Raw genomic sequence first — 20,598 nt, 5'->3', positions numbered from 1 at the left:
TCCTAAAGGTAGAGAGTAAAGGATTCTTGTCAAACAAGTAGAGTTCACATCTCTAGTCCAGCCTGGGAAGAGCAGAGAAAATATAGACATTTCTTAGGTTTCTTGTTTATTCATACAAATGGAACAACAGAAATGCAGTGATCCTGGAGAGTCTTAGGCTGAGAAACAGTTGGTCTCATCAAATGAGTTTCTCTAAGAGTAGATCATTTGGGGGCCCATATGTTAGACAGCTAGTTGAGTATTTCTACCCCTTAAAGATATGGCAGCTTACAACCCTTGAAGGACAATTAATTCTGTTAATATGTTGGTACTGACCAGTGAATTCAAACTATAATTTCCTCATATGACATATTTGTAACAGCCAGCTTGTTTCTCCCTTCTATTTCCATAGCCCACAAAGCTAGAACACTCTAATTTGTCTAACTGGTGAGTGGAACTCAAAGTTTTTAGTCAGGAAGAACTTGAAACCTGACCAAGTCTCCAAGCAGAATGCATAATGCACATTGGCTACAGAGTTATATGGGAGATTGTCCCTAAAAAAAGTGTGAATCATAACTGTATAAATTAAAATAAATCTGTGTGTATACTTAAATAATAGGTCTTTCTAAATTTACCCCAACTTCTCGAGCTGTGTTGAATCACATTTGCATTCATTCATTCATTCATTCATTCGTTCACTTAACAAATATTTATGAAGCACCTACTATCGCCAGGCTCTGATCTAGGTACTAGGAATATAACTGTGATCAAAAAGATGAAAATTGTGAGGCTTACATTTAGTGTATTTAACAATAATGGCTTCAGCATATAAACAACATTCACCAAATTAATTCCATGATTGCTCCAAGTGACCCATTTTACTTTAGTCTGTCTCTGACCACTCTTGGCTCTCAATTGTTCTTCAGTTTATTTCCTGCCTAATTACTTTAGTTTGGCACATGGATTGACAGACTTTCAGATCAGAGTCTGCACTTTGTTCTTTGTATTCCAAGCAACTACCTTTCCCTTCTGGCATGGTTCCCCTGACAATAAATGATCCAGTAATAAACCTCCTGACTTGCACCCCCAGAGCCTACCACTTTTCTTACAGCCCATACATACCGGAGATGGCCTAGGCCACAGGCAGATGCTAGACAGTAGACTTGTGCTTTGTCCTAAGCTCTAGAATGCATGGTTGTGCACAGATTCTGCTTGGCCCAGGGAAAGCTGAAAATAAACGAGGTAGTTCCAGGGCAAAATCAAGAAGCAGATGAAGATAACTTTCCTACCTTAACTTCCTGTTTCTTTCCCTTTCCTCACTTGGTACATTTTTTCTATCATTTTACATACTGCTTTGTCAATTGAGGGACCAAGAAAAGGGGATGTTTCTTCTCTGACCTGTTCCTTCTGCCCGCATAGAAGGGAGTCCTGGCTGTAGCAGCTGGAGGCTTGCTCCCTCTGAGCTACTAGGAGTGGGGAAGATCCATTCGGATTTCCTTCCCTGTCCCCTGAGCTCTAAGTCCTCATTAATTATGCTGTGCCTTAAGCCTCTTGGACACCAAGAGCCAGAGAAACCACCCACAGGCCTATGTCTCTGTATAATAGTGGTAAATAGCATTAGTTGAGTGCTTACCATGTACTGGGCTCGTACTAAACACTTCACATGCACTATCTGCTTAATCCTCCCAACTTGATGAAATAGGCATATTATTGCCACAGTGTGAGATCTGAGTGGAAATTTATTTTACTGTTGACCAGGCATACAGTGGAGTTTTGGCCCTAGGGGCTGGGGTTCAAGAGAGAAAGTGGGCTGGGCGTGGTGGCTCAGGACTGTAATCCCAGCACTTTGGGAGGCCAAGGCAGGTGGATCACTTGATGTCAGGAGTTCAAGACCAGCCTGGCCAACATGGTGAAACCCCATCTCTACTAAAAATACAAAAATTAACCAGGCATGGTGGCGCATGCCTGTAATCCCAGCTACTTGGGAGGCTGAGGCAGGAGAATCACTTGAACCTGGGAGGTGCAGATTGCAGTGAGCTGAGATCACACCACTGCACTCTAGCCTGGGGGACAGAGCGAAACACCGTCTCAAAAAAAAAAAAAAAAAAAAAGACAGATAAAGTGTTTTATGTTAGTTGTGTATTGCTGGGTACTCCCAAAAGTTACCTCAAGTTTAGCAGCTTAAAACAACAAACATTTATTATCTCACAGTTTCCAAGGGTAAGAAATCTAGGAGCAGCTTAGCTGAACGTTCCTGGCTTACAGTGTCTCGTGAAGTTGTAGACAAGATGTTGGCCAAGCCTGCAGTCATCTGAAGGCTTGATTGGGATGGAGGATTGGCTTCTAAGATGACAGACACTCATGGCTCTTGGCAAGAGTGGTAGCTGACTGCACTCATTGAAAAGACCTGAGTTCCTTGCTGGATGTAGGAAGACTGAAGAAGACTTCAGTTCCTTGCCTCATGGGCCTCTTCTCTAGGCCTCAAGCCATGGCAATGGGCGTCCCTGAGAAAGTGCAGTACAAGAGAAAGCAAGGCAGAAGCCACAATGTCTTTTGTAACTTAACCTTGTAATTGACATTTCATCATTTCTGCCATATTCTATCCATCACATAGACCAACTCTGACACAATGTAGGAGAGAACTACCCAAGGGCATGAATACCTGGAGGTGTAGATCATTGGGGGGCCACCTTGGGGTTGGCTACCACATCTTCTAAAGCTAAAACCACAAACTAGCTCTCTTCTATATTAAAAAACCAAGTCTTAGAGTGTCTCTTATTGGCTGGCAATATCTGGCTTTATTGATTAGATATTATATAAGTGCTGGGCTGCTTAGAAGTGTTGTCTTCCCACTCAGGTGGAATGCCCACTCAGGATTAGGGCTGTCAGTTGTCTTTACTGACAAGTGTAAGTGGGGTACCCAATTTGGGATTATTAGTTGTTATTTTAGCAGAAGTCAGGTTTGTGCCACTGTCAACCTGGCTATGTTAAGGGTTTGTGATCCTCATTTTATAGGCTTTGGGAATTTAGATATTTGCTCAAGGCAACACTGCTGTTAAGTGGAGGAAACAAGGATTGTAATACAGGCAGTGAGACTGCAGAGGCCACCCTCATAACCACTACTCTACTGCACTCTACCCTAAAACAGGCTATAGCCTCCTAATTCCTTCCAGCCACCAGCCCCAAACCCAAGAAGCAAAGGGAAGGGAAGCTAGAGAAGGAAATGGGTGCTACTCAAGAGACTCTTGAGGATGTGTATGGTAGGTCATCCTAGAAGACTGGAAGGTAAACAATTTGGAACCACCCAAGGGGTTTACCTTGCCCACTGCCTAGACAGAGCTGATTTCTCAAGACAGGGGAATTGCAATAGAGAAAGAGTAATTGACACAGAGCTCGCTGTGCGGGAGACTGGTGTTTTATTGTTACTCAAATCAGTCTCCCCGAGACTCTGGAGCAGTTTTTAAGGACAACTTGGTGGATGGGGGGAGCCGGGAGTACTGATTGGTTAGGGATGAAATCACAGGGAGTTGAAGCTGTCTTCCTGAACTGAGTCAGTTCCTGGGTGGGCCACCCAGGATCAGATGAGCCAGTTTATTGATCTGGGTAGTGCCAGCTGATCCATCAAGTGCAGGGTCTGCAAAATATCTCAAGCACTGATCTTAGGAGCAGTTTAGGGAGGGTCAGAATCTTATAGCCTCCAGTTGCGTGACTCCTAAACCATAATTTCTAATCTTGTGGCTAATGTTAGTCCTACGGAGGCAATCTAGTTCCCAGGCAAGAAGGAGGCCTGCTTTAGGAAAGGGCTGTTACCATGTCTGTTTTAAATTGTAAACTATAAACTAAGTTTCTCCCAAAGTTAGTTCAGCCTATGCCTAGGAATGATCAAGGAGAGCTTGGAGGTTAGAACCAAGATGGAATTGGTGAAGTTATACCTCTTTCACTGTCTCAGTCATATTTTGCAAAGGCAGTTTCAATATGGTTAGGTCACAAGAATGCTCCAGCATAGAGATGGAATGAGAAGGTCGACGAAAGGGATCTCCTGCTTCTGATGGGCTGATTCAGGGTCTTCATTTCCTATTATGTATGAAAGTGACATAGGAAACCTGGTTTTGGTAAAAAAATTTTGCAAGGGTACTTTTCATTGATGCTGAATAATTAACAGAATAAAAGGAAAACATATAGACACTTTCTTTGGCAAGATAAAGGGAACACAGCTATAGTCATTAATGTAAAATGTTTCCCATTTGTGTCTGGTTAATATAATCACTTTCAGGAATACATGCAAGAGAATCACGGGCTCTGAAGTGAATCTAGCAGACTCTAAAACATGTTTCCACTGGATGTTTCTCTTAGGGCTCACTCTGCCCTACCTTCCTTTTCCAAAAACAAAATAGAAAGTAGCTATTCCTTTTGGGAAATGGAAAGTGATGCTTGCCCTGAAGATACCGTGGAGGCTGACCCAGGCACTGTGGCTGATGTATGTGCATTATGCAAGTATTTTGTTAGAGATGATGCCACATTAAGAAGCGCATACGTATCTTCCTCTTCTGTGACGCCTTCTCCGATTTTGCCATGGTGATCCAGGTACTCTCTCTTCCTGTTTTACCCACATTGAAGTTTGGATTAAGGGTAAGAAAGGAAAGGTCACGTTAAAACATGGAGCATTTGGAGTTGAGGAGGTTTGCATTGCTCTAAGGATTGTTGGGGAACTCTCAGACTTCCCAGTTAAACTTTCAAGTTCTTGGTTCTCATTTTTCTTCAAGAGTGAATGTAGGGTGGGATATACTCCCTTCTTGCTGTGCACCAAAATAAATACACTGACCCTTTCCATTTTAAGGGCTTCGTTTGGGACTAATTATCATGGAAAAACAGAAGGTAATAACAAAAATAACAACATGGGGAAGTACAAAGTCTCCAAAAAAACCTGACATGGTGTTCAACTTTATCCTTATCTGTTACCCAGAAATGTAGATATCTTCTCTTCTGCTGTCAAGGGCAAGGCTGTCATCAGAACTTCTCCTTTCTGAACCTTTTCTCTCCCTTATCTTGTTCCCACAGACCCCCTTCTCCTTCTCTGAGGGCCTCTTTGAAGATGTGTAAGAGCAGTTTGGGGGTGGACACATAAGCATCCGCATGCCCCCAGAAAGAATCATTTACTGTCAGAGTCATTAAAAAAAAAAATTCTCTTCATCTCTCTCAATGCCTCCCTTGTGCCTCTAAATTTTTTTTTTTTTTTTTTTGCAGTAGAGCTGAACGCAAAAAAACTGTGGCTGGGGAAAAAGGACATGGGGATGAGGCAAAGATGGGGGCTATGAGTAGGCACCAAAGGCAAACTATACCTACTTGGCCATTTTGCTGAGGGCCTTTGGTGGTCAGTCTGAGTGGGGTGCCCTGGACATCATTTCTAGGTGAAACATTTAATAGGCTGCACTAGGTGTGTATTCTCTATAAATGTAGATCTGGACACTGTAGATGTTAGTGTGCAAATGAGGAACCCAGCCTGGTATAACCTGGAAGCCAGTGCCAGTGACACCACAACTTGATAATATCACACAAGCAGAAATCTTAGCAGTCTTGGTTTGCTAAATGAGAATAAAACATACTAGTCATTTCTAATAGGAGAAGAGAGAGTATATCCAAAGTCAGCTTTTAAAAATGTCTCTGGCTGGGTGCGGTGGCTCACACCTTTAATCCCTGCAATTTGGGAGGCCAAGGTGGGCGGATCATGAGGTCAGGAGGTTGAGACCAAACTGGCCAACATGGTGAAACCCCGTCTCTACTAAAAATACAAAAATTAGCTGGGCATGGTGGTGCGTGCCTGTAATCCCAGCTACTCGGGAGGCTGAGGCAGGAGAATCGCTTGAACCAGGCCATCGGAGGTTGCGGTGAGCCGAGATGGCGCCACTGCACTGCAGCCTGGTGACAGAGCGAGACTCCATCTCAAAAAATAAAAATAAAAATAAATTTCCAACTGTTAGTGTGCTTAATGCATTTGGCAAGAAAAGGTGAACTCTAAGTTGGAGAATGTGGCTGATGATGCTAAATTGTTTGGAGACATTAAAAAAAAAACAAAACAAAACATGGAAAGATTCTGAGAAACTCCAGATGGACTCGAACATGTTGACAGAGGCAGCAAGCAGCCATATGACAGGTTAAGTCTCACTTGAGTCTTCATAATTTTTAAAAGTAAGTGAAATTCTCAGAAAAGCTAAACTTACTGAAAGAAGGAAAGAACTGTAGAATTCATAATAATCTGTCCAGGGGTTGAAGAACTGTTTACGAGTATGGATCAGCCCAAGGGTAAAATGGGAACAATTGACTTGTTGCCCCGTCCAAGATAGCTGGGCGTTCTGCTCCTATCCAGCCATATAGAATTGCTTATGGTTCCCTGAATACACCATGCTGGGACCCCTCCCTCCCAACCCTACCATTCTTATTACTTTCCATCTGTGACAATTATCACAGTTCGTAATTAGATATTTGTCTGATAATTTGATTGTCTGATTTTGTCATTCTGCAAACTTCAAGAACAGGGACTTCGTTCTGTTCAGAATTGTATCCCTGGCCAGGCATGGTGGCTCATGCCTGTAATCCAAACACTTTGGGAGTTCAAGGCAGGTGGATTGCTTGAGACCAGGAACTCAACACCAGCCTGGGCAACATAGTGAGACCTTGTCTCTACAAAAAAAATTTAAAAATTAGAAAAAATTAGCCCAGTGTGGTAGTGTGCACCTGTAGTCCCAGCTACTCAGGAAGCTGAGGTGAGAGGATTGCTTAACCCCAGGAGGTAGAGGCTGCAGTGAGCTGTGATTGTACCACTGTACTCCAGCCTGGACAACAGAGTGAGACCCTGTCTCTACAACAACAACAAAAGAATTGTATTCCCAATGACTACCTAGTGCAAGCTCTTAATAAATATGTTTAAACAGATGAAGAAATGAACCTTTGCCCATGTTTTTGTCCCTCTTCTTGGAATATTTTGCCTCTTCCTATTTGGCTGGTAAACTCGTATTTATGTTTTTCAAAACTCAGCTTGTGTCACCGCTCTGAAACACTGCTCCTGCAGAGGAAATTACAGCCTCTTTTCTCTCTATGTCTTCTAAGCATCTGGACTGCTACACTCTTAACACTGTACTGCAGTTGTTTGTTTATGTGATTCTCTTGACAATTCGCCTATGAGCTCCTTGAGGTCAGGGACTGGATCTTATTTATCTTTTTATTCCCAGTACCCAAGTGGTATTCAGTAGGTGCTTATAGATATAATCAATGAACTTTATATTTTCTAGCCATCTCCTCCAAGGAGAAGTCCATTTAGGGGCAGCACTGAACTAAAGAGGAGGAAGGTCAAACTAACGTACCTGCCCAGGGCCAGGCTAATTTGAAGGCGATAGTCCACTCCACTGAACAGCAGAAAAACTCAGGAATTGGTGGCATCAGGTACCTGGAAGACAGAGGCTAGGTGAAGGAGTGAAAATAGGGAGTAAGAGTGTGTAAGAAGCCCCTAGATGTCTAGGTTCCCACCCACTCTACAAAATAGGAAGATGGGTTTATGGAAAAGCTAAGCTAGAAAGTCTTAGGAAATCAGGTACCACACAGAGGAGAGCTGGCAGTGAGGTGCTAGAGTCTGAAAAGAGGAAAGTAAGAGCCTCCATGCCCTTCTCTGCCAGGTTTAGCGGCACTACCTCTTTCCCCTCCACTCATAGAGACGGGGTGATCCTTCTCTGGAGAAATCGAATACCACCGGAGAAGAGACCTACTTATATTAATTGTAGGGATACCAAATGAAAAAGTTTGCTGGCCATCTGTTTATAATCTAGTAAAGGCCATCAGAAGACAGGGCCACCAACATATAAATAGCTTCCAAACATCTTTCAAATGCCTTGTTTTATTTAATATAATTTGTTAACCCAAAAGTATCTGAGACAGATCTCAATCAATTTCAAAAGTTTATTTTCCCAAGGTTAAAGATGTGCCCCTGACACAGCCTTAGGAGGTCCAGATGATATGTGCCCAAGGTGGGCAGGGCACAGCTTGGTTTTATACATTTTAGAGAGACATGAGACATCAATGAATATGTGTAAGATGTACATTGTTTTGATCCAGAAAGGCAGAACAACTCAAAGGGGAAGAAGAAGCTTCCAGGTCTTAGATAGATAAAAGACAAAAGTTTGCATTCTTTTGAGTTTCTGATTAGCCTTTCACTGAATATACAATTTACATGTGAGAATAGAGTAGAGGAGTAGACACTTATGTCAGTCCGCCTTAGTGAAACAATAGGGCAGAGTAAGCAGTCAGATAGGCAGTTGTCTCAGGTGAACAGACGGATGACTTTGAGTTCTGTCTATCCTTTATCCACAAGGAATTTCCTTGTGAGCAAATTGTGAAGGAGGTATGTAGTTAAAAAACAAACAAACAAACAAAAAAAAACTCTTTGTAGCTATCTTATTTAGTAATAAAATGGGAGGCAGGTTTGTCTTATACAGTTTCCAGCTTGACTTTTCCCTTTGGCTTAGTGATTTCAGGGGTCCTGAGATTTATTTTCATTTCACAAAATGAATAGAAAAGATACACAAAAATCACGGGAGATGTGATTAAATCCCCCAATAACGTAGGTGGAAGCCAGCAGAATAAAAACAAAAATTCAGAGGAAGACAAAAGGCTTTCAAAGAGAAAAAAAAAATCATTCCAAAGGATTGGAGTAAAAGAATACTACCGGACTTCTCAACAACATTAAGAGCTGGAAGCTAATGGAATAATGCCATTGAAAATCTTAGTAAAAATGATTTTTAACCTAGAATTCTATACTCACCCACCAAAACAAACCTTTGATTATGGGTGAGGATAGGATATACACATTTTTATAAAAGTAACATCACACAAAGACGTTCTTTTCACATATCCTTTCTCAGGAAACTACTGGATGATTTGTTCCACCAAATGATGAAATAAACCAAGAAAGATCCAAGGAACAGGGGATTACACACAGGAGTCAGGTGAAGGGCATCTCCAGAATGATGACCAAAGGAAGTCCCTGAAGACCAACAGATAAGACTAGGCCAGGTGGCAAGCCCAGAAAATAACCTGTGTGAATTAGGTGGGACTGGGGGCTCCAGGAAGGATGGTGCCAGGAGGAAGAAAATGGAACTACTATTAGATTATCTAAGAGGTTGGTCATGTGAAAGTTTTTGTTGAGAAGCATTTTACACAGCTGTTGGTTTATTGTGGGAACACTTACAATTGGTTCAATGAAATCTAAGCAAATGGAAAAACGTAAGCAATTGCCAACTTCAAAATAAATTAAAAGATATGCAAGAAAAAATGTAATCTCAACACTTTTCTTGATTCATCAGAAAACAATATTTACAGTCATATTAATTGAACTGAATATGGATTTTACCAAAAGATGTGATACAATTACGTTGGGAGAATGGGAGAATGGGAGAAGGGGCAGAGGAAGAGTAGCAGCGCTAATAGCCTCACCACCAACAAAATGAAATCAATAGATAATATCTAACTTGATGAATAGAGAGAGAATCACAAATCCAGGAATTGGAGGCAAAGAGAAACAGCTAATACAGCTGAAAGTGATTGTCTCTGGATAATGGAATGTTGGGGGTGGGATAGAGCTGCGTGAAAATACGGCTGTTTTTTGTTACAAGCCTTTTGAACTACTTGACATTTTAAGCTATGTACATATATTGCTTTGATAAGTAAAAATTAGTTTTAAAAGAGCTATCATATTAAAAGGATGGCAGATTATTAGCCTGCTACATTGCTCATGTGTCTCATGGCTGTGCTCTTCTGCATGTAGGATGGAGGATGTGGTCAGAGAAAGAGTCAGGGACAGGTTATGAAGTGCTTTGTGTGCCAAGCCAGAGAGCTTGGGTTTTATTATAAAGGGAATGAGGGAGCCTTTGGAGATCTTAAAAAGTGGAATAATAGGATCAGAAGTATCAGACATGCTCTCTAAGCATTAGTTTCCTCATCTGTAAAATGACGAGTTGGCCTAAGAAGAACGATTCTGCCACTTTCCCCTACCGAACATTTTATTGTAAAAAATTTTAAATGTCATTTGTTACTACTTAAACAATGTATTTGTTAATTAGTTATTTTTACTAGCATTTTATGTATCATTAAATTATAAATTATTTAAATTTCTTATGAAAAATTTTCAGAAAAATCAAATTAAAAGAACTATCCAGTAAACATCCATGTAACCACCTAGATTCTGCAATGAACATTTACCATGTTTGCCTTCTCACATAATGGTCTATCTATCTGTCAGAGGCAGTCAAACAAGAACGACTCCATTTTGAGTGAGGCTAGGAAAATGAGGCTGGGACTTGCTGGGTTGCATTCCCAGAAAGTTAGGCATTCCTAGCCTCTAGATGTGTATGTTTAAGGGAACAAATTAATAATGTTTACTAAAACAGACCCTGACTTGGGAGTGTCCAGATATCCCAAGTCTGGAGAATAAAGGCATTCCTAATTTTGCTTTAAAGATAATAATATGGATTCTTGCAAAATATAGTAATTAAGAAAATTAATTTTCTATCACAAACCCTAGTAGCAGAGCACATCTCCCCGTATATGCAAGCATTGTACCTAGGGTGGGTGCGTTCCTCCTCTTACTTTTGGGAACATCCTACTCTGTCTATGGAGTAGCTGTCCTTTCACCATTTTACTTTTTTAATAAACTTGCTTTTACTTTGCACTGCAGACTCGCTCTGAATTCTTTCTTGCACAAGATCCGGGAGCCCTCTCTTGGGGTCTGGATGGGGACCTTTGTCCTGTCTATCTATCCTTTTGTCCATCCATCAGTCCATCTGATATTTTTGATACATTTGTGGACATCAACATATTTCATCTCTAAATACTTCAGCCTGTCTTCATTTATTAGAGTTCAATATATTTTTAAGAGTGTTTTGGGTTTTTTGCAAATCTTTAGTGTACCATTCCAAAGTGTTGACAAATACATATGTTTGTATGACCCACACTCTTATCAATATATAGGATATTATCATCACTCCAGAACGTTTTCTCATTATTCTGCCACTTTTTAATTTCTTTGCAACTGTGAAATCCCAACACAGGGTAGGGTGATGATATTTAAGCCATTCCATGAATGTGGGAAGGAGTAAGAGAGGAATATGGGGTGGGATTCTCAACACAGGTTGAGGTTCCAGGAAAATCAGAGAAGTTGACAAGATGCAAAAGGTTCATTGTGGGGAAAGTTGCTAGATAAAGCTTTAAAATCTACTGGCAAAGCCTACACGAGATGACCTCTCATATCCCTTTCAGCTCTGATGCTCTTTGTTTCTGGGGTTTGGAAAGCAGACTTTATTTTCAATGAATTTCACAATCATTTAGTGTGCAGCTGTAGCAGGTACTGAAAGGCTTGCAGCTACTACTAATGCCATCTGTCAGTGGGCAGAATTAACCTGCTTTTACCCTGGCTCAGGGCTTTGGTTATATCTGTCTGCTTTTGTAAGGTAGAAGTTGGTAAGTGGGAGTCTGTTAATATACCATCCTTTACATCTGGTGATAGCGCCTCTTACTTACCTTCTGTAAAAATTATGCAGTGAATAATTTTCCTGTCATGACCAATGATGGGCATTTGTAAGTCAGCTGGCTAGAGTTAGGGTTGCAAGCACAGGAATTTCTCAATATGAAATTAAGTAATATTAGGACCTGTAGTCTCACATCCTTCTTAGCCAGACAAGACTTTAATGAATACTTAGTAAAAACTGCTATCTGGGAGAGTTCTGATTAAACTCTACATTTGTACAGATCATTTATTTTCAGAATGGTGAAGATGCAGAAGTGGCCAGGCACGATGGCTGACGCCTGTTATCCCACCACTTTGGGAGGCTGAGGCAGGTGGATCACTTGATGTCAGTATTTCGAGACCAGCCTGGCCTACCTGGTGAAACCCCATCTCTACTAAAAATACAAAAATTAGCTGGGCGTGCTGATGGGCGCTTGTAATCCTAGCAACTTGGGAGGCTGAGGCAAGAGAATAGCTTGAACCTGGAAGGCAGAGGTTGCAACAAACCAAGATCGCGCCACTGCACTCTAGCCTCTGTGACAGAGTGAGATCCGTCTTAAAAAAAAAAAAAAGCATTTGCCCAGGCTGGATTGCAGTGGTGCGATCTGGCCTCATTGCAAACTTCGCCTCCCAGCTTTAAGTGATTCTTCTGCCTCAGCCTCCCAAGTAGCTGGGATTACAGCGCAAGCCACCACGCCGGGCTAATTTTTGTATTTTTAGTAGAGACGGGGTTTCACCTTGTTGGCCAGACTGGTCTCAAGCTCCTGACCTCAGGTAATCCGCCTGCCTCGGCCTCCCAAGTTGCTGGAATTACAGGCGTGAACCACTCTGCCTGGCCCCCAGTAAATGTTAAATAAATGAATAGAAGTTATAAAAAGGCATTTCCATTAAATAAAACAGTTTGTAAATGCAAGTTGTGCCAGGTTTGGTTTTTCAAGGCCTGTCCTTCGCAGCATGGGTATACCATTCTCTGAAATGATCCCTGGCAGCAACCTCATCCCCACAAAGCCTTATTCCACTTCTGTGCCTCCACCCTGTTACAACTTAAGCATCTGTTATGCTCTGTACTATACACCTCTTTGTTTTCTTGCCTGTATCCCCTATAGTCAGGGTGTACCTTAAGGGCAGAATCTCTATCTTTGTTTACTAAAGCCATGGATGGAAGTTGAATAATGAGCTTTGTATTCCTGAAGTTATGAAAGCTGAGTCCATTTGTTCATCATGCTATCGACAGGATTAACCAGCAGCAAAAGCTTATAGTATTTTGATAAGATTTTTCTCAAGAAGTATTTGTTGAAAACTGTTAAAGGTAAATTATTAATCCATTGCAATTAATGTTCCCAAAGACCTCTAAGAGCTCATTTTCTGTTCTGAGTAAGCTCTATCATCTTCTGTGAACTAAGCTCTATTTCACAGGAAAATGAGGCAGATTATCTCTGATGGGATATTGAACAGTGGTAGTGAGTCTGATTAGGAGGACAATTTTCTTCTCTTTCGTAGAGAAAATTAACAAGACTCTAGGATTTCTAAAGTTGACATAAGAAGGCTAATAGTCTAGAACTAGTATTCAGAAAATGGTAATTACTGTGGGTGGGGGTGTGTGTAATTATTTAACTGGAAATGTAGATCTTAAGTTAGTTAAGAACATTTTTAAAAAGCAGGTTACACCAATGGAATTTGGTTGCTACAGAAAGCCAAGGAGTAAATACTTAATAATTTTACTTTTTAGAAAACGAAGATCCCCAAATCTGCTGTTATGATGAATAATCTAAGAGCACAATTATAATCTGAGATCTGAACCAGGTCAGTTTGGATTTCATAGCCTATACTTTCCTCTTCCCTATATCATAACTCTCTGGAGAAACAAGTGAGATGCCTGATATGAAAACACTCTAAGAATAGTTTATATCTCTTTGTATTCTTTGATACTATGGTAAGAATTGTCCCCTGGCTGCAGAGGATTGTCAATAAATATTACTTCTAATTGAGCCACTAGTGTAGTAGAAAGAGCGTAGACTGGTATTCAAGCCTTGATTGTGGGGCTCACTATTCAGCAGCTCTGGAAAAGTCACTTTAGGTTCAGTGAACCCCTATTTTTCCCTCAGGGATAATTAATTGTCTCTTACGCATCACTCTGCACAAGAGCCAGGCTCTAGCTTAAGCACTTACAGTATTACCATATTTAATTCTCACATCACATAGATAACAATAATAGATAGTTATATTTTCCAGTTGGAAATAGGCTTAGGGAAATTACATAACTTGCTGAAGGTCACCAAGCTCCTCTACTTACAGCTTCAGACATCCAACAGCTTACTCACTATCTCCATCTAAACATTAAATAGGCACCTCAAACTTTATCTGAAAAGCTCTTTCTTTAGTCACTCATTGCCATACCTGTTTCTCAGTCATCCATTTCTCAGACCAAAACCTAGAACCATCCTTGATTTCCCTTTCTCCCAGTCCCTGCTTCCAGTCCTGCCCCATCAATCAGTCCATTAGCTAGTCCTCTGAGCTCTATCTCAAAAATACATTACTTATTCAGCTACTCCTTGGTAGCTCCACTATTACAATAACCCAAGCCATCATCATCCCTTACCTGGGCTCCTGTAATAGCCCCATGCTTCTGTGGCATCACACCTCTCCTAGCCTCCTCCCTACAGGAGAGAAGACAGAGCCCAGAGTCTTCGTGCTCCTGGTAAAACCCTCATCCCTTCCTCTCCCACCAGAGTTATGGTCTCACTGCCACAGTCTACCTGGGAGACCATTGCTGCAAGTCTCGTCCTGCCCTTTATCCTTATATGTGTGCCCTGTATTGCCACAAGGTAGGACTGTATGCCCATAATGCTCTGTATATTTTTTCACCTGATCCTATTTCCTTCCCCTCCATAACACAAGAACTTTCACTGTGCTCCCTGGAATGTGCAGTTCACCATTAGCAAAATTTCCTATACTCTCTTCACCTTCTCGGCCTAACTGAAAATTAGCTGTCTGCGGGGGCACTGCTTCCTTTGCAGTTCTCTCAAGAGGTGGCTGCTTTTCTGTCACATCCCATGTTCCACTGGGCCTGGAGGAGGGATGCATAACCTGTGTGTTCCTATTGCTGCTTTAGGACCATTTTCTCTTGCTCTTCCTAAACTTGCACCACCCCTCCCCACAAAATTCGAATCTCTTTGCATTAAACAACTGCCAGCCCTTCTTTTTGCAGCCATCTGCAGATCTTGGACCACTCCACTTCATTCCTTGAAGAGTTTAGCTCTTGTCTCACTGTCATTGTCTCCAAAGGTAATCTTGTCTTAATTCTGAATAATTTCTATGACATACAGATAATCCTTTCCATGCACTGACCTCTCAAGTCTTTGACCTCTGCCTCTCCTCTCCTCCAATGGTCTTGTCTTCCAACCTACCTTAGCCCCCACTGCATGGTCATGCCTTGTCATTACCAATAGCTGCAACTTCTTTTCCATCTCATTTTAAAATAACCTACTCTCTGACCCCACCTCCTAATTTTCCCATGCCATCCCTCTAGTACCTTGTCAGGATTCTACCATTGCATTATACCTCACCTCCTCATTGCTTCACTTCCTTGCTTTTCCACCTTAGTTTGCATGTTTCTTTCCTACAATTACCCTTTGCATACCCACCTAATCTCTTACCTCTCTCTCCTTTCATTGTACTCACCTGATGAAATCCCTCCTGATGATGCCAGCTTTCCAATTCCTCTGAATGAGTATCCACATAGACAAACATGATTGGAAAATATGCTGACTGTGCCATGTTAAATTCATCACCACTGCTATGGATTCAATTTTGTCCCCTCTAAATTCATATTGAAATGTTATTCCCAATGTAACAATACTAAGAGGAGGGGCCTTTAAGAGGTGATTCATGGATTAATAGATGAATGGGTTAATAGGTTATCAACAGATCGGGTCTGTTATAAAAGCCAGTTTGCATGTTCTTTTCCTGTTGCCATGTGATGCCCTGTACCACCTCAGGACTCTCTGGAGAGTTCCCATCAGCAAGAAGGCCCTCATCAGATGCAGCTCCTCAGTCTTGGACTTTCAGCTTCTAGAACTGTAAAAACTGAATTTCTTTTCTTTATAAACTACCCAGTCTCAGGTATTCTGTTAGAGGAACAAAAAACGGACTAAGACAACACCAATCTCAATTAGGTCCTCAGTGCTGCAAGATAATCCTCCTACCCTTCCTTAATATATTCATTTTCCTCATCTCTTAGATGACTGCTTCACTTTTCACATCTTTTCTCAAACCCCCAACACCTCTCCCCCTCCTTATTCTCAGCTGAGGATCTTGCTTCATGTCTTATTAGGAAAGCAGCAAAAAGCCTTAGATGAGAAATTCTGCTACATCTGCCCACCCACCTGCATTTACACCTGTAGGTGCTGCCTGTCCCTCGATAACAGATGAACTGACTACATTCCTAAGGCCAGCCTGTACACTTGAATACCAGATTCCATTCCTCTTTCCCTCTCAAAGACATTCTCATCTTTTTTTATTAATTTTCCCCTCTTGACTGGATCATTTTCCCTGCCATACATTGTTATTTTTCTCAACTTAAAAAGCAAAAACAAAAATACCCTCCAGCACCGCTAGATTCTTCTGCTCCTTTGCATCAAAACTCCTTAAAGGTGTCCTATCTCTATCTGTTTCTACTTCCTCTCCTCCCCTTTTATGGTATTTGTCTATATACCCTCATTTTATTTCTGTACTTAGAGAAAATAAATGTAAAAAAGAGAAAAATGGTCATTAAATGTGACAATTCTTATCTGAGCATTATAAAAAAGTTGATTAAGGTAAAGAAAAGTAAATGCCAATTTTTCCTTTGGATGGTTGAAATAAAAATAATATTTTAATAATAACAATAGCTTATGTTTACTAAGGACTTACTACATACTACACCTTAATCAGGCACTTCAGATGTGTTTTTTCCTTTAATTTTTATGACAAAAACTCTATGAGAATAGTACTGAGTTACTCCAAATTTTATAGATAAGGAAACCAAGGCATACAGAATTCAAATAGTTAAAAGCTATTTTGTCTCAAATGCACTCCAACCAAGCACTCGCTCCTACCGCCCCACTGAAGTAGCTCTTGCAGTCACTACTGACCTCCATGCTGCCAAATCCAGTGGTCCAATCTCAGCCCTCTTTATACTTGACCTGTCTTCAGCACTCAACACAGTTGCTCACTCCCTTTTCTTCAAAACACATCTTTTTCACTTAGTTTTGGAGACTCACTTGCTTCTCCTTTTTAGCTCTGTGGCTGTTGTTTCTGTCTTCTTTGCTGGTTCCACCTCATTTCCCTGACTAGTGGAGTGTCCCAAGTACCCAATGGCCCAATCATTAGACATCTTCTTTATCTATACTTCCCCACTTGGGAATCTCACCCAGGGAGGGTCATGGCTTGGAAGCAATCCAAGCAGGGAGATTCTAATTTATGTCTTTAGCTACACTTCTCCTCTAAACTCTGGAACTTTCTACATATTACAGCACTTGATATCTCCACATGAATATCTGATAGGCATCTCAAACTTGATGTGTCCAAAACCAAATGTCTGATTACCTGCCTACTCCCACCCCAAATCTGCGTGTCCTACAGGATTTTCATCTTAGTAAATGACAGGTCTGTGCTTCTAGTTGTTTAGGCCAACAACTTGGGAGTCATTCATGATTATTTGCTTTTGTTCACACTTGATATCCAGTCTGTCAGCAAATCTTGTGATTCCACCTTCAACATATATCTGGAATATGACAACATCAACTGTATCAACTGTTGCCATCCTGGTTCAAGCCACTATCAATTTCTCCTGGATTATTGCAATAGTCTCCTAATTAGTGATGTTATATCCAGTCTTGCCTCTTCCAATCTTCTTAACAGAGTAAACAAAATGATCCCTTTAAAACCCAAGTTTTTAGCCATTCCTCTGCTCAAAACCCTCTAGTGGCTTCCATCTCATAGGCAGCACATGCTCCTGTCCTCCTGTGGTCCCAAATGCCCTACATGATGGGAACGCTGCCCTCCTCTCACCCCCTTCCTCTCCAAATACTCTTTCCCTCCCTGCTGCAACTCCGGTCACACTGTCTTCCAAACACACCTGGCATGCTCCCACCTCAAGAACTTTGCCTATGGTATTCTTCTGGTCTCTACTTCTTCCCCCAGGGTCCTTCCCTTCCCACCTTTTGTCCTCTGCTCAGATGCCACTGTATTAGTGAGGCCTTCCCTAGCTACCCTATAAAAATTAGTAATGTCCTCTCCCTCCCTTAACCCAAACCTCCCTTTCCTTTTCCCTTGCTCTGTTGTTCTCCATAGCACTTACCACAATTTGATAATTCCATATATTATCTATGTATTTATTGACTGTCTGCCCCTAAGCTTCATGAGAGAGAAATTTTATCTTGTCTACCTTCATATTTTCAGCACCTAGAACTGTGCCTGGCACCTAGTGTTTAACAAACATTATTCGTATAAATAATGCATTAATTGTAGCTTTATTACCATAAAATATTATTACTGATGTTGTTATGTTAGTTCAGATTTTTCCTTCTTTAGGTAGCTAATTTCTATTCACCCTCCAAGACTTCAGTTAGGAATCCCAAAATCCTACAGGTTTTCCTTTGTCTCCAAGGCTGCATTAGTGTCCCCTCTCTAAGCTCCCGTGGGAAACTGAGCACATCTCTATCACAGAGCAGACCTCGGTCAGATGATAATGTCTATTTACCTGGATTACCAGCAGGGCATATTATCTTTTTTTTTTTTTTCTTAAGAGACAGGATCTTGCTCTGTTGCCTGGGCTGGAGTGGAGTACAGGGGTGGTGTGATCATAGCTCACTGCAGCCAGCCTCAAACTCCTGGGCTCAAGTGATCCTCCTGCCTCAGCCACATAAGTAGTTGGGACTACAGGCACATGCCACTGTGCCTGGCAAATGTTTTAATTTTTATTTTTGTAGAGATGGGCTCTCACTTTGTTGCCCAGGCTTGTCTCAAACCCCTGGATTCAAGCAATCCTCTTGCCTTGGCTTCCCAAAGTGCTGGGATTACAGGTGTGAACCACAGCACCCGACCATGGTATGTTTTATCAGGGGCCTCCCACAATGTTTGGCAAACATCAAGTAGATGTTTGAAGGCAGGAAGAAGGGAAGGATGAAGGAAGAAAGGAAAGAGGAAGGAACTAAGGGAAGAATGATGAAAGATAGGCTATGGCTTTCCTTTCAATGAAAAAAAATCAAATACTTAACAAATTTCAGCTAACATACACTTTAGGAATACTGCAGACTTCCTTTTCTCAAAAAAAATTGTGGCAAAATGCACATAAAAATTTACAGTTTTAATTTATTTTATTTTATTTTATTATTATTATACTTTAAGTTTTAGGGTACATATGCACAATGTGTAGGTTAGTTACATATGTATACATGTGCCATGCTGGTGTGCTGCACCCATTAACTCGTCATTTAGCATTAGGTATATCTCCTAAAGCTATCCCTTCCCCCTCCCCCCAATTATTTTTAACTGTGTAGCTCAGTGGTATTAAGTACATTCACATTGTTGTGCAACCATCCACCACCAGAACACTTTTCATCTTGCAAAACTGAAACTCTGTACCTGTTAAGCAATAACTCTTCATTTCCCCCTTTCCCCAGCCCCTGGAAACTATGATTTAACTTTCTATCTATGATTTTGACTATAGGTACGTTTTATCAGTGGAATAATAAAATACGTGTCTTTTTGTGACTGGCATAATGTCTTCAAGGTTCATCCACTTGGTAGCATGTATCAGAATTTCATCCATTTTTAAGGCTGAATAATACTTCATTGTGTGTACATATTTTGCTTAAACGTTTATCTGTCAATGCACACAAGTTGTTTTCACTTTTTGGCTATTGTAAATAATATTGCTATGAACATGAGTGTGCCAATATATGTTCAAGTCCCTGCTTTTCTTTTCTTTCTTTCTTTTTTTTTTTTTTTTCTGAGACAGGGTCTCACTCTGTCACCCAGGACGAAGTGCAGTGGCATGATCTCAGTTCGCTGCAGCCTCGACCTCCTGGACTCAAGCAATCATCCTACCTCAGCCTCCCAAATAGCTGGGACTACAAGTGCATGCCACCACACCCGGCTAAAGTTTGTATTTTTTGTAGAGACAGGGTTTTGCCATGTTGCCCAGGCTGAAGTCCCTGCTTTCAATTCTTTTAGGTGTATATCAAGAATTAGAATAGCTTGACTATATGATAGTTCAATTTTTAATTTTTTGAGGAACTGCCATACTGTTTTCTATAGTGGCTGCACTATTTTACATTCCTACAACAGTGCACAAAGGCTACAATTTCTCCACGTCCTCACTAATAATTATTTTCTGTTTTTTCTTTTTTAAAAAAATAGCAGCCATGCTAATGTGTATCAGGTGGTACAGACTTCCTTTTAAAATCTAAGTACATCTGCAAATAGATGCAAGCCCTCAGCTATAGGTCATTAGCCTGAAAGGTAGCCAGCAGTCCTGAGATGAGCTTCTGGGATTTGTTCACCGGCTGCACTCCCTTTTCTCTGCTGGCTCCCTTGCTGGTTTCTAGCAGAGCCCCACAGACCACTATTGAGCAACTTCTGGGGTGTAAAGTCTCACAATCCCTGATGCCCAGCTGCTCAGCAGCATTAAATATACACTGTGAACTGTACTCTCCTCTCTTCTCCAGCAGCCCTGGTGCTTACTTTCTGTTAGTGTGTGGGGTTGCCTCTCCGTACTCATGGGTCCAACTCCTCCCTAAAATTCCATAGTTCACAGAAGGCAACTGAGGTTTACTTGCAGAAAAGAGATAGCATAAGGACAATTAAGCAGTCTGAGTGAGTTATAAAACAAAATAAAAAGAAAGTGAGGACAGGTTCTGAGGACTTCTTGTAGTGTGGGCTAACAAGGACAAGTGAAGGAACACCTGGCAGGCTCTTCCCGCAACTGCATACCCCAGCATATCAGCCCATCACCCGTGGAGTCCAACTCTGTTCTTAGGGAGCTTTGGTGTGGCCTTGGATTATTTCCTCCATATCACAGACAATTC

The 20,598-nt window shown here is 41.2% G+C and overlaps 1 long non-coding RNA gene across 3 annotated transcripts in view; it reads right to left on the bottom strand.

Annotated features, from left to right (window-relative positions):
* The window catches only part of LOC102724008 (uncharacterized), a 29,333-nt gene extending 12,520 nt beyond the window's left edge, over positions 1-16,813 (bottom strand). Inside the window, exons 1-3 of one of the 3 annotated variants that reach the window (XR_427030.4) lie at positions 16,660-16,813; positions 7,338-7,420; positions 3,791-4,053 (exon numbers count right to left, since the gene is read on the bottom strand). This is a non-coding gene — a long non-coding RNA (uncharacterized LOC102724008). Of the gene's footprint in view, positions 1-3,790; positions 4,054-4,115; positions 4,577-7,337; positions 7,421-16,659 lie in introns of those variants that run through there. The other 2 variants (XR_940075.3, XR_001739457.2) reach the window with 2 other exon arrangements.
* Between the last annotated feature and the right edge of the window lie 3,785 nt (positions 16,814-20,598).

Source organism: Homo sapiens, chromosome 2 (assembly GCF_000001405.40).
Source record: "Homo sapiens chromosome 2, GRCh38.p14 Primary Assembly".
Classification (NCBI taxonomy): Eukaryota; Metazoa; Chordata; class Mammalia; order Primates; family Hominidae; genus Homo; species Homo sapiens.
This window is presented reverse-complemented; position numbering and strand designations above follow the sequence as displayed.